Source organism: Homo sapiens, chromosome 10 (genome assembly GCF_000001405.40).
Source record: "Homo sapiens chromosome 10, GRCh38.p14 Primary Assembly".
Lineage (NCBI taxonomy): Eukaryota > Metazoa > Chordata > Mammalia > Primates > Hominidae > Homo > Homo sapiens.
In genome coordinates, this window is record NC_000010.11 from 47,585,447 (window position 1) to 47,600,836 (window position 15,390).

The 15,390-nt window shown below is 41.6% G+C and overlaps 1 protein-coding gene and 1 long non-coding RNA gene across 4 annotated transcripts in view; both read right to left on the bottom strand.

Annotated features, from left to right (window-relative positions):
• ANXA8 (annexin A8) overlaps positions 1-15,390 on the bottom strand; it is a 523,804-nt gene that overhangs the window by 117,454 nt on the left and 390,960 nt on the right. The window lies entirely within an intron of this gene.
• The window catches only part of LINC02675 (long intergenic non-protein coding RNA 2675), a 32,287-nt gene continuing 18,644 nt past the window's right edge, over positions 1,748-15,390 (bottom strand). For 2 of the 3 annotated variants that reach the window (XR_945946.4, XR_945945.4), the window contains 2 exons: positions 4,693-4,873; positions 1,748-4,062 (listed from right to left, as the gene is read on the bottom strand). This is a non-coding gene — a long non-coding RNA (long intergenic non-protein coding RNA 2675). Of the gene's footprint in view, positions 4,063-4,692; positions 4,874-14,187; positions 14,847-15,390 lie in introns of those variants that run through there. The other variant, XR_428749.5, reaches the window with a different exon arrangement.

Sequence of the window (15,390 nt, forward strand, 5' to 3'; positions counted from 1 at the left end):
AGTTCTCAATAACAGAAGCTGGGTTCTCAGGGGATCCCGTGGATATGAGGATGAAGGTTAGAAGCACTTGGGACCATACCTGCAGGTCTGATTTGAGGACAATGAGACCAAGACAGGAAGGCAGCACCTGCTGAGGGGCTGGGGGTGGGAGAAGGGAGGAAACGGGACACAAGAAAATAAGTATAAACCACCAGACTGCAGTCAGTGATCAACAAAATTCCCAAGTTTATATTGAGAAGATTTCCCTGGTTTGGGGTTTTGAAGAGATTATATAAGGGATTCGGGTTGCTTGATTTTTTTCATTCTTTTTCTTTTAACTTGGTCTCAATTTTTTTGTAAAAAAAAAAAAAAGAATGTCTTATGTGCACCTTTAGAACTGGTGAATGAATGAACCTCCCTTTTTAAATAACTGAGATTGTCACTGAAGCACTGTCATCCGATTTAGGCTTAAAAATCTGACACTGAATTTATCCTAGATGATAAAGTGCAAGTCTCTTGTCTCCTAGAAATGATCAGGCAAGGAAACACCCAGGAGGCCCAGGGCAAAATGCCCTCCTGGAAGCTGGTGGGGTAGGAAGATGCTGAGGCCCAGTATGGTCCCTGGAGCATGCATTCTGTGTGGTGACAGAAATTGTTTGCTTGACCGTACATTGGTCAGGCTTCTGAACCTTCTGCTAAACCCATCTGTGCACTTTTTGTAAAATTCAGTTTTAGGAAATTACCCTGCTAAGTCAGTTTAGCTGGCAGGAATCCCCGTCCACCATATACTGATCAGGGTCCTCATCCCCCACCATCCCGCAGCTGATGTCAGATAACCTTGGCCTGTGCTCAGCGAGAATCTCGTTAGGTCAGTTTAGCCAGAATCCTCCCTTACCCTTCATGTTCCCTCATAGTCATTTCCTATCTGCTAACCCCCATCCTCCTCCTTGAGTATAATTACCACTTCCTTGTGCTGGATTCAGAGTTGAGCACAATTGCTCTCTCTCACTGTAAGAACTACTTGCAGTGCTCCTAGACCTACATATGTGAACCTGTTTCTTTAACAGTGACTCACCTGTCTTTTTCTCCTTTCAACTTGACACTAGCTGAGGCTTATCCGCATCAAAGTGGAGGGACTGGCCCCGGGGGATCCTCAGGGCTTCACCTTGATGGCCTGCAGGCTCACATTCCACTTTTTCTGGTGCCTTCTGGCTCCGAGTCCAGTTTGCCACACAAGTGATGGAGGTTGGAAGGAGGGATGAGGTGACAGAGGTGAAGGAGGGTAAATTCTTTTCTAAGCCCTACTTGCCTGACATGCATTTAGGTTTTTAGAAAGGAACCTGACCCCACCCTTTATTTTCTATCTCCCACTTCCATGACTAGCCTTACCTGTAAAAATGGGGCATAGAAGAGCCCCCATCTCCTAGGGCAGTGTTTTTGAGCAGGGGGTCACTGAACAGTAGCACCTTCATCTCTTGAGACCTTGTTAGGAAATTCTGGACTTGGGGTGGTTGATCATGCCTGTAATTCCAGCACTTTGGGAGGCCGAGGCTGGCAGAACATGAGGTCAAGAGATCAAGACCATCCTGGTCAACATGGTGAAATCCCGTCTCTACTAAAAATACAAAAATTAGCTGGGCACGGTGGTGTGTGCCTGTAGTCCCAGCTAATGGGGGGCTGAGGCAGGGGAATCACTTGAACCTGGGAGGCAGAGGTTGCAGTGAACCAAGATCATGCCATTGCACTCCAACCTGGGTGACAGAGGAAGACTCTGTCTCAAAAAAAAAAAAAATAAAAATTCCTGGAAATGGATTAGCTTGCTGACAAGAGTTATTCCATTGTGTGTTTCTACCTGCAATACCTGAGGATGCCCATTTTCTCACGATTTATAAACTAACTCATTTTATAGATGTAATTTTCATACATTTGGGGGTATCGTTCTAACTTCATTATTATTACTTCAAGGTGTTATTATTTCCCCATCATCATCATGGTCATTATCATAACTAGTTGGTGCTGACAGTAGTCACCCTGCATTGAGAACTCATACTCCAGGCCCTTTCCACATAGACTTGATTTAATTCCATTCACTCCTCACAACAATCGTCTGAAAGAAAGAATCACTAAGCCATTGTATAATTGAAACACAAGAGGCGAGTGACTTGTGTGCCCTTGGGCAGGTAATTTAAACACTCTGTGCCCCCAAGTTCCAATAGATAAATGTAAATAATAATATCTTTCTTACCTAATACATGGGGTCAACAGTTAAAGTACTGTACATTTGTGAGGTATTTCATGGCACCTGTGAATTGCTCATGTGATGACTTAGTGTGCTTCCAGTGTCAGTGTGCTGGGAAGGAGACAGAATAAGAAGAAGACTGAAAAGATGCCGAGTCTAGTGCAGGGTATCCTGGGGAAAACACCTCCTGTTTGTCCAACAGCGATTGGCCACACATTGAAGACACACTACCTGGCTGTGAACTGGGGTGACCCTGTTGAAATCTTGTGGAAAGCTTGAGATGCTCCTTAGAGGGTGTTTATCCCTCGAGCTGGCACAAATGCGGTTTGTTGTTCAGTTTTTCCTTCTACTCTGCCTCTATCTGGTACAAAATGGAATTGAAGAGGATATAAACCAGCAAGGAACAATCTGAAATCAGAATGGTGACAATGGGAGAAAGTAATCTTGGTTCAACCCAATGTTCACCTGAAGTCTCTTTATTAAAGACTACTAACAGGAACGAAATTGCATAATAATCTTCCTATGATAATTTCAAGTTCCAGAATTTCTCTATGGAACTTTCAAATTTCACCTCTGTTAACTCATGGAATTTTCCCTAGAATCTGCAAATTACCGAAGTCTTTGGAGGTTTGATGATCACTCACTGGTCAGCGGTACTACAAAAGGATTCTGGGGAGTTTGACTCAGTGGTCAGCAAAGGCTCTTCTGAATCTTCAGTCTGATTCTGAGATTCCCCGGGGAGAACTGGAGCCTTTCTTAACAGCTGTTGATTGGAAAGACCACCTGCTTCATCCTCTATTGCAACAGAAATAGCCATTGTGAATCTCCATGGGGAGGCACAATGAGTTTTTTCTAGCATGTGTGACTCAGGTCATTTTGTTCCGTGGTTTCCAGTTGTGGGGACTTGGCAAGGTCACACCCTCCCCTGAGCCTCAGTTTCATCGCTCAGAAAATGAGGATAACAATTCTACTTGCCTCATAGGATTGTTGTGAAGATTAAATGAGACATGTAAACATTTGCTTATAGTAATTTCACACCACTTTATTGTGGAATCAAAGACAGAATTCTTACAGAGGTCTTGGTTAGTTAAGAAAACATCCATTCAAAGATTTGATTCACAGGACACCCTCACTGTCTTTCTCTCTCTTTTTTTTTTTTTTTTTTTTTGAGACAGGGTCTCACTTCATTGCCCAGGCTGGAATGCAGTGGTGTGATCTCAGCTCACTGCAACCTCTGCCTCCCAGGCTCAAGAGATTCTCCCACCTCAGCCTCCGAGTAGCTGGGATTACAGCCATGCACTGCCACTCCTGGTTAATTTTTGTATATTTTGTAGAGACGGGGTTTTGTCATGGTGCCCAGGTTGGTCTTGAACTCCTGGGCTCAAGCAATCCACCCGCCTCAGCCACCCAAAGTACTGGGATTACAGGCGTGAGTCACCACACCTGGCCCTTGCTTACTTTCGTACTTCCCAAGAGGCAGGTTACCAAATTGGTGAAATTAACCATAACATCATTGTGATGGGCAAGCAGATATATTAAAAGCAAAGATACAGCAGGTTAACATTAAATTTTGCTCATCCCAGGACAAACCTGGCCACAGGAGGCCTTTGCCAGTATTCTGAAAAGTGTTGTGACCATCTCCTTTAAAGCTCAGTTAAAGGTTTCTGGCTGGACTCCAGGCTGCTTCAAGCTCTTTACTTGTCTTTATCATTCTTTAAGGAGGGACCCAGACACAGTATGCAGAGGCCTGAATCCTCTAGATCATTCTCTCTCCACCATGAGTCCTGCCGTGGGGACTTTTCCAGCTCCCTTTGGCCTTATGAGCCAGAAAATCAGGCTAGAGCCTAAAGAGAATAGAAATTTCAGAATCAGGCTTGTTCTGCGACTGTATGGGGGAGCTGAAGGACACAATGGGCTTTCTATATTGGAGACTACCCATCATACTCTCTCTGCCCAGGGAGAAAGGACAGATGCTGTGTGATTTTGTAGTCTGTGATTTGGCTTCTCATTCTCGCTGCTCTCTACACCTCATTGTTTACTTCACTCCCCTGAAAAAAATGCTCCCTAACAGGCTCAGTACCCAACTTCTGGGTATTGCTGCCCACATTTGCCTTGGTTCTACCTTTTCAGATTGCAGGATCCTGAGGTTTTGCTTGGAGCAGCTCAGATTCTCCACTAGATCTAAGATCTCACCTAGTCCTGAGGATTTCCTTAAAGGGAAGGGGAAAGATAGATAGATGATAGATAGATAGATAGATAGATAGATAGATAGATAGATAGATAGTTGCTGCCTTTGCTCTACAGCATCTGCTTGGTGAAGAGGCTCAGGATCTGGATCCTGGCCTCTCAGCTTTCAGGAACCCCATTCCCCCCTGACAGGGGTGGCAAGTTCATCCTATTATTCATTAAGAAATTTGAAAACAATCATTCAGGAATTTTAGGTCAAGAGCTGGAAAACCCCAAGCCTCCGTCACCTGAGCAAAGGGAGATACTGTGAGCACCTGCAGGATACACCCATGTTCCACCACCTGCCTGAAGAAGCCTGTGGTTCTTGTCAGCTTCTCAAGGGTGAAGTGCCAATCCTTTTCTGCTTGAGCAGAAGAGCAGACCAAAGAGCTCATTGACTCAAGGAGCATCACGGCAACTGAGCTGCACCTGGAAGAGAAGAATCCAGGGTGTGATCCACAGCCAAGGCCTGAAGCAATGGGGCCCATACTTGGCCTCTCCAGGGTGAGTTGTGACCCAAGTGCTGGGCTTTAGCCCATGAGTGGTCCCTCTTGCCATTTCCAGTTTCCTCCCAAAGAGAGGCCAGTGTTGGTGATTTCATTTCTTATAATCTCCTTAGGAGCACAGGTTTTGGTTTGTGCCTTTTTTGGATCAGGTTCCCTGCATTGCAGCTGCTATAATTAAAACTATTAACAACAACACAGCACCACAGAAGCAAGTTAGTTGCTAATGGAATTTGCTGATAATGCTGTCTTCTAGAGACCACTCTAGTAACTGGAGAGCCTTGGTGTAGAGCTGATGATAAAACCTATTCCTGCTTTTGTCAGTCATGAGGAGCATTTCCTTTCTAGACAGAGGAACTGAAACCCACATGCCAGCCCAAATTTACCAAAAGCAGTCACTGGAATACTCATCACACCATCATGTCTCATCTTATCCCTTTCGTTACCTTCAAATACGGCCCCATTTCCTGAGGACCAGAACTCCCTTATGTGGGCAGCAGGACTAAGGCCCTTGAGTTACCTGTGGTGACTCCTCATTAAATGGAGGAATGTGCCAGTATTTTCAGCAAAACATGAATCTGATGAAACACTGACTGAACTGTCTCCTAGTTTCAAAACAAATTATTACCACTCAGGGCCTCTATTTAGGGCAATCAGAGTCAGAAGTGGGAACGCATCTTGTCCTCCTACCTTGATTAACAGTAACTCTAATTGCAGGATGATGGTCAAATCCTCTCTCCTCTAATGTGCAGTTGTGAAGGATTTAGGCTCCACTGCTCATGCATTTGGGTGGGGCCTGAATCACTTTCAGTCTAGCACAGGCGGGTCACTTCAGGCCTTCCCACCTCCATCAGCATCCTTCAATCCTCCCCTGACATCTCTCATTTATGCTTCCTATTGATTCAGAGGTCCCAACCCGAGTGGCTAAAAGAAACATTCATTAACCTTTCTACAAAGTCATGAATAATCCATGGATTACATTGAATTCATCCCTACTAAAACCATCTTCAGAAATTCAGATGTAGTAACCTTCTTTCTGAATTTTTTTTTTTTTTTTTTTTTTTTTTTGAGATGGAGTCTTGCTCTGTCGCCCAGGCTGGAGTGCAGTGGCATGATCTCAGCTCACTGCAAGCTCCACCTCCCGGGTTCACGACATTCTCCTGCCTCAGCCTCCCAAGTAGCTGGGACTACAGGCACCCGCCACCAGGCCCGGCTAATTTTTTGTATTTTGTTTACTAGAGACGGGGTTTCACTGTGTTAGCCAGGATGATCTCGATCTCCTGACCTCATGATCCGCCCACCTCGGCCTCCCAAAGTGCTGGGATTACAGGCATAAGCTACCGTGCCCAGCCAAGTATTCTATCCTTAATGAACACATATATGCACATTATATCTATTTTTTATAATATATATATTTAGAATTGAATGTCAGAGTACATATCAGTGTTGGAGGAAGAGAATAAGGAGGAAGCACAGAAAGTAAAAAGGAAAAATAGGCACCAAAAAAGATTTGGAGAATGGCAGATGGCCAAGGAGATGCAGTTGGGAAGTGCCTCTTCCATGGAGAGGAACCCAAATATCTAGTAAACCTTCACATTTTAAACAGATCTTTTGAGAGAAAACACTGAAAGTTGACACAGAGGTGACACAGACACCATGGTTGAAGAGGGAAGAAATGGGACAGTCTGCTCAGAGTCACTAGACATCAGGACTGGCCCATATACCCTGAACAAACCCAAGGAAGGGGTGAGTGAAGGAACCCTGGGACACTACATACCCATAATGTACCTCTGAGATCCTAGTTACAGGAGTTTCTACGACCCTCATAGATCTTTGGACTGGTAGGAGAGCTGCCTCGAGCACATGCAGAGGCACAGTTTGAACCCACACAGAGCCCAGAAGGCTTTGTTGTGCTGTGCAGCTGCAGCAAAATGCAACCCTAGGTGCCCATCCCACAAGCCTCCATTTCATACTGAGTGGCTAAGTTCCTGCTGTCCGCCAGGCTGGGAGTGAACCGCGCCTGGCCTGCTCACATGCCCAAGATAGGCCCCATCACCAGTGCTGTGTGATTAAGTTGCATCTGGTCCACATGCCCCCTTGCCTGTCAACCCCTTCCCAGAGCTCATGCCTGGTCACGCCTGCAAGAGGGTGTCCACAGCACAGCATCCACTGCATAGCTTGAGTGTTTTGTTGACAGCCTGGGAAAAGCTCACCACCCTGTCCCCAAGTCACAGCCAGTGCTTGAAGCTTAGAGGCCAGAGGACAAATCCGTGAGCCCAGTCCCAACTCCCCAAGACTCAAGTATACCACCCAGGGACACTGAGCTGAGATTTGTAACCTAATCTCAAGTGAAGGAGGATCCTCCATAGTCAGAATGCAGAGAAGGGTGTGGTATGGGTTCTCATGGGGGCATGGGAGCTGGACACCCCTCCCTTTGCAAGACCAGACCATGAAGGGTATGGCCTGATGGTGGTAGCTTCTTTCCCAGGGAGTGTCCTGGCACAGAATGCCTGGAGCAGCTCAACAATGTGGGAGCAGATGGCTTGGGGAAAGCCTAGTTGGTTGGGCTTGCCGCCAGGGCGAGTGTCTGTGGGAGATCTGCTGGGTCAGGGGAGTGTAAGCTAGGCAGACTCCATGGTTGCCTGCTGGGCTGAAAATCATGGGCTGCAGACTCCATACTGGTGTTGCACCCATTGTGCCACTGCCCTGCCTGGAGATCCTCTACCCTTGAAATACTGCATCATCAGAGCAACTGCAGACATACCCTAAAACCTGCTCTGACTTTGGTAAGCACAGTGGACTGGTGGGTCTCTGGAGAGTTGTGTGTCCCTAGAGATGTAATCCTCAGTGTGGACCATCCCTAAGGGAAGGGGGAGTGCAGCCTGCCAAAGCACCACATGAGACAAAGAAAATGTGGCCATGGCATAAGCCACTGAAAGGAGCACCACCAAGGCCCAGAACCAGACTTGGAGAAGGAATTATGTCTCGCCTCCATCTCCCCTCCCCAGTGCACTGTTGCAGATGCAACAATAGCTCTTCCCATAGGGGCCCAGAAAGCGTGCACTGAAAGAAGTTGTTTCTCATGATTCTCCAGTGAGGGCAAGCATGCACCAAGACCCCACCTGCCAGCTCTTACTCTTAAGTCCATCTACCAGACTGAAGTTTGAGTTATACCATCATATAAAAATACATTGCTAAAACAAGCAACATCTGTGAAAGCCACTGCAGCAACCTATCTGTAACCAAGGAACATATATGGAAACTTCACCCTCTGCAACTACAGAGAAATGAAGCCAATCAATCACATACACCACTGTCATACTTTCAAAGAGAATAAAAAATATAAAAGCCCTGTGATGGTTAATACTGAGTGTCAACTTGATTGTATTAAAGGGTGCAAAATATTGTTCCCGGGTGTGTTTGGAGGGTGTTGCCAAAGGAGATTAACATTTGAGTCTGGACTAGGAGAGGCAGAACCACCCTCAATCTGGGTGGGCACCATCTAATCAGCTGCCAGCACGGCTAGGACAAAGCAGGCAGGAGAAGGCAGAAGAGCAGACTTGCTGAGTCTCCTGGCTTTCATCTTTATCCTGTGCTGGATGCTTCCAGTTCTTCAGCTTTTGGACTCTTGGACTTACACCAGTGGTTTGCCAGGGGCTCTCAGGCCTTCAGCCACAGACTGAAGGCTGCACTGTCAGCTTCCCTACTTTTGAGGTTTTGGGACTCGGACTGGCTTCCCTGCTCCTCAGCTTGCAGATGGTTTATTGTGGGACTTTACCTTGTGATCGTGTGAGTCAATGATCCTTAATAAACTCCCCTTCAAATGTACATCTATCCTATTACTTCGGTACCTATAGAGAACTCTGACTAATACAAACCCCATCTAAATGAAGCAAATTCAAAAAAGAAGTGTCAACTCCCGCAGATGGAAAGGAATAAGCACAAGAAGTCTGGCAATACACAAAGCCAGAGTGTTTTGTGATCTCCAAAGCCTCTCACTAGCTCCCTAGGAAAGGATCCTGACCAGATGTAAATGTCTGAAATGAGACACATAGAACTCAGAAGATGGATGTCAAGGAAAGTCAATGAGACATAAGACAAAATAGAAATCCAATGCAAAGAAACCAGAAAAACAGTCCAAGATTTGAAAGACAACATAGTTATATTAAGAAAGAGCCAAACTGAACTTCTGGAACTGAAAAATTCACTAAATAAATTTCAAAATATAGTTGGGAGACTTAAAAACAGACTAGGCCAAGCAGAAGGAAACACTTCAAAGCTTGAAGACTGATTCTTCAAATTAACCCAGTCATGCAAAAATAAAGAAAAAATATTTTTTAAAAAGACAAAGCCTTCAAGAAATATGGGATTATGTAAAGAAACCACTTCTACAACTTATTGGTATTCCTGAGAGAAAAGAAAGAGTAACCAACTTGGAAAACATATCTGAGGAAAAAATTCAAGAAAATATTCTCAATTTTGCTAGAGATGTTGACATGCATACACCAGAAATCCAGAGAACCTCTGTTATACACTATAAAGACAGCCATCCCCAAGACACATAGTCGTTAGACTATCCAAGGTTAACACAAAAGAAAAAACAAATCTCAGACACAGCTAGAGAAAAGAGCAACACTACCTACAAAGGGAACCCATCAGACTAACAGTGGACTTCTCAGAAGAAACCTTACAATCCAGCAGAGATTAGAGGTCTATTTTTAGTACTCTAAAAGGAATGACATTCCAGCATAAACATTCATATTCTTCAAAACTAAGCTTCATAAACGAAGGAGAGATTGAGTCTTTCTGAGTCAAGCAATCGGTAAGGGAATTTATCACCACTAGACTAGCCCTGCAGAAATGCTTAAGGGAGTTCTAAATGTGGACATGAAAGAACAATACACAGAAAAAGCACAGTTAAGTACATAGTCCACAGACTCTATAAAGCAACTACGCAATTGAGACTGCAAAGAAACTAGCTAACAAAACTATGACAGGAACACAATCTCACATATCAATGTTAACCTTGAACATAAATGGCCTAAATCCTCCGCTTAAAAGACATACAGTGGCGAATTGGAATAAAAAAATCAGAATCACCCATCTGCTGTCTTCAAGAGACCCATCTCACAACTAATGACACTCATGGGTTCAAAGTAAAGGGATAGAGAAAGATTAATCATGCAAATGGAAAACATAAAAGAGCAGGAGTTTCTATTCTCATATCAGAGAAAACAGATCTTCAGCCAAAAACAGAAACAAGGACAAAAAAATGTTATTGCTTAATGACAAAGGGCTCAATTCAATAAGAATAATTAACTATCTTAAATAAATATGCACCCAATATTAATTGGAGCATCACGATACATAAAGAAATCACTACTAGACCTAAGAGGTAGACAGCCCCTCAGTAATAACTGGGAACTTCAACACTCCACTGACAGTGGTAGATAGATTATTGAGGCAGAAATCTAAACAAATAAATTCTGGACTTAAATTTGCCACTTGACCAATTGAACCTAATAGACATCTACAGAACACTCTACCCAACAACCACAATATATATATTTTTTTCTCATCTTCACATGGAACATACTCTAAGAGTGATCACATATGCAGTTATAAAGCAAGTGTCAAGAAATAAAAACAATCAAATAATATCAAGCATCTTCTTGGACCGCAGTAGAATAAAAATAAAAATCAATAGCAAGAGGAACTCTAAAACACAGACACTCACACACAAACACACACGGAAACTAAAGAAATTACTCTTGAATGACTTTTGTTTGGGTAAACAATAAAATTAAAGCAGAAATCAAAGAATTTTTTAAACAAATGAAAATAGAGACACAATGAACAAAAACCTCTGGGATGCAATAATAGCAGTTTAAAAAGGAAAGATTATAGTGCTAAATACCTACATCAAAAAGATAGAAATATCTCAAATTAACAATCTAACATTGCACCCAGAGCAAGTAGTAAAACAAGAAAAAAAACTACATCCAAATATAGCATAAGAAAAGAAATAACAAAAATAAGAACAGGACTGAATAAAATCGAGACTCAAAAATCCACACAAAGGATCAACAAAATGAAAAGTTGGTTCTTTGAAAGTGTAACCAAAATTGATAGACTGCAAGCAAGATTAACAAAAAAGAAAAGATCCAAATAAGCACAATCAGCAATAACAAAGGCGACATTCAATCGAGTCCCACGGAGATTCAAAAGATTCTCAGAGACTACTATGAACATTTCTATGTGCACAACTAGATAACCTAGAAGAAATGAATACGTTCCTGGAAACACACAACTTCCCAAGATTGAACCAGGAAGAACCTGAAACACTGAACAGACCAACAATGAATTACAGAATGAATTGAATAAGTAATAGAAGCCTAGGACTAGATGAATTCATAGCTGAATTCTACCAGACATACAAAGGGGAGCTCATGCCAATCCTACTGAAACTATTCCAAAAAATCGAGGATGAGAGATTCTCCTCTAACTTACTCTACAAAACCTATATCATCCTGATACCAAAATATGGCAAATACTCACACAAAAAACAAAACCCTAGGCCAATATATCTGATGAACATAGATGAAAAAATCCTCAACAAAGTACTTGCAAACCACATTCAGCAGCACATCAAAAAGATAATACAATATCAAGTGAACTTTATACCTGGGATGTAAGAGTTGTTCAAATATATGCAAATCAGTTAATGTGATTCACCACATAAACAGAATTTAAAATGAAAAAAAACATAAGATTATCTCAACAGATGCAGGTAAAACATTTGATAAAGTCCAACATGCCTTCATAATTAAAACCCTCAATAGACTAGGCATTCAAAGAACATACCTAAAATAATAAGAACCATCTATTGACAAACCTAGTCTACGTTATACTAAACAGGCAAAAGTTGGAAGAATTCCCATAAGAATAAGAACAAGACAAGAATATCCACTTTCACCACTCTTATTCAACTTAATACTGGAAGCCCTAGCCAGAATGATCAGACAAAAGCAAGAAACAAAAGGCATCCAAATAGGAAAAGAGGAAATTAAATTTTATTTCTTCACTGATGATAGGATTCTATACCTAGAAAACCCTAATGATTCTGACCAAAGACTCCTAGAGTTGATTAAAAATTTCAGTAAAGTTTTAAGATAAGAAATCAATATACAAAAAGCAGTAGTATTTCTATACAATGCAATATTCAAACTGAGAACCAAATCAAGAACACAATCCCATTTACAAGAGCCACAGAAAAAAAAAAAAAAGAAATACTTAGGAATACCTCTATCCAAGGAGGTAAAAGATCTCTTTAAGTAGAACTACAAAACACTGCTGAATGAAATCATAGATGACACAAACAAATGGAAAAATATTACATGCTTATGGATTGGAAGAATCAACATCATTAAAATGTCTTTACTGCCCAAAGCAATCTACAAATTCAATGCAGTTCCTATCAAACTGCCAAAGTTATTTTTACACAGAATTAGAAAATCAATTCTAAAATTTGTATTTAACTAAAAAAGAGCCTGAATAGCCAAAGCAATCTTAAGCTAAAAGAACAAAGGCAGGGGCAACACATTACCTGACTTCAAACTATACTACAAGGCTACAATAACCAAAATAGCATGGTTTGGGTACAAAAACAGACACATAGACCAATGGAACAAAATAGAGAATCCAGAAATGAAGTCCCATACCTACAACCAACTGATCTTTAACAAAATTGATAAAAATACAATGGGGCAAGGATACCCTATTCAATTAATGGTGCTGGGAAAACTGGCTAACCATATTCAGAAGAATGAAATTAGACTCCTGTCTCTCACCATATAAAAAAATTAACTCAAGATTGATTAAAGACTTAAATGTAAAACTTTAGACTATAAGAAGCCTAGAATTAGACCTAAGAAGCTCTTTTGGATATTGGCCTATGCAAAGAATTTATGACTAAGTACTAAAACACAAAAGCAACAAAAACAAAAGTTGACAAGTGAGACCAAATTAAACTAAAGAGCTTCTGCACACTTGCATGTTATATTGCAAATATGAAATAGCAAAGACATGGAATCAACATTGGTTTCCAACAATGGTGGATTGGATAAAGAAACTATGATGCATATACACCATGGAATACTATGTAGCCAGAAGAAAGAATGAAATCCTTTCCTTTGCAGTAACATAGATGTGCCTGGATGCCATCATCCTAAATGAATTAAGATGTAAACAGAAAACCAAATACCGCATGTCCTCACTTATAGGTGAGAGCTAAACTTTGGGTACACAGGAGCAAAAGGATGGAAATAACAGACACTGGGGACTCCAAAACAGGGGAAGGAAGGAAGGCAAGGTTTGAAAAGCTACTTATTGGGTACTATGTTTACTATTCAGATAATATGTTCAATAGAAGCCCAAACCTCAGCATCATGCAATATATTCATGTAACAAATGTACACATGCATGCTTAATCTAAAATAAATATTAAATAATCAAATAAAATGATTTCCATGAATAAAACGGTAGATATGATTATGTGGAAAATGCTTTACTATTTATTATGTGGTGAATAATTTAATAATATTTAATAAATACATGAATGAAAAATAGCTACAACTGTGTGTTAGGATTTCAATAATTTTTTATTTCATTCCTATAACTTTTATGTATTATTATATACATAATAATATATAGTTAATAATAACAAAAACAACATGGTATTGAAATAATTTCCACCCAGAAGGAGGATCAACATATTTAAGTGACTACACTACTCAAGATAAAAATCATTTATCAAACAGATCAAAGTCATTTACCTGCTTTCCTTTTTATAGGTCCTAGGAACACACGTGCCATAGACAATAAAACATCACTTCCCCCATCCCACTACCTTGGACTTTATTTAACATCTTTGGGTAGAACAGAAACTGTTGATAAGGTGAGTTTTGTTTTATAGACAAGAGAGGAAAATGGATACTTTGTGTGGTCTGGGCCTTAGAAACAGACTAAGATCTTTTTTTTTTCTCTTTTGCTTTTTTTACTAGCATAAAATATTAATTGACAAAACACTGAATACAAGCTTCACTATCATAAAATCAAAACATTTAAGCAATATTCCAAAAAAGATTTGACAAAAACTAGTCACCAAGAGTACAAAAATTACACATCAACGCAAAGCATAAAAAATGTGAACTTTCAAATTAAACAGTCAAAAACATGTACCTGCGTGATCACCTCCACACCTTGACTGCCTTCGTCTGCAGCACGCTGCTGGTAAAGGCTGGGTGGCTGCACCGTCGTCCCCTAACCCAACATTGCTTTCATCTGGGAAAATTCGCTTGATAGCCAATTAAGCCATGGAGGCTATTACATTTACACGGGGCTACGCACAATCTCAGGGGACGTTCAAACAGCAGTTCGTTCCTCACACGCACTGTTGGGTGCAAAGGGCACCTGGAGAGTGAGGGAGACCTGGGAGCTTTCCTGCGGGGCCTTGGCCACGCGGCCGTCGCCGGCACCCTGTCCCTTGCCTGGCAGGGGACACAATATTTGTACAGATTATGGTATAATTTGAATGATTTTCTAATCTACTTATCTTAATTTATATAGTTTATTTAAATGTCAAGGCAGAGAAATACATTGATCATGTTAAGGTCACGTGATGTGGTGGCGCAGTAATGACTTCCTGAGGAAACAGAAATCGGATGTTTTGTGATTTAGCTATGTGCACTAAACTTATTTTCCATGTTTTGAGAGCACATTAAACATTCACGTACAATGTGGGAATAGGCTGGCTCGTAACCAAAACGTCCAACCCAATGCCACCCTTTGAATCGCTGTGAACACCATCCTATTGCGGTTCAGAGAAAACAAGCAAGGCTGCGAAGCCCCGGGGTTCAGGCAGCTGCAGCGCTTGGGCCAAGGTAGCTCCGCTCTCTGGTCTGAAGCCACGTGGCCCCACCCCGGGGCGGCCTGGCTTTTTTATAGTGCTTATTGCTGTGTTTGGCATGCCATTCAACCCATCGGGATGTTGGATAGTGACTTGAGAGCAATCCCTAGATTTGCCCTGTCGGGATGTTGCATACTGAATTCGGAATAAGCCCTGCTCAACTGAGGCACTATCACTAGGAGGAGGCACTGATTCCCGCCTTTCAATGCTATCTATTGGTGAAAGAGGAGTTGGATGGCATCTGGGAAATTAGTATCACTTCTACTTTTTCTTCTTTTCTTTTAAAGGTTAAAAATACCTTGTATTAGTTAATACTGCTATAAAATATGAATATCCAAATCTCTGTGGCTCAGTAAAATAGATTTTTTTTTCACTCAGAGAAAGTTCAGGTTCACCCTTAGTAACCCAGGCTGACAGAGACTCTTCCATTTTCTATACATAGCTTCCCCAATTGCCCAGAGAAGAGTGGAAAGATT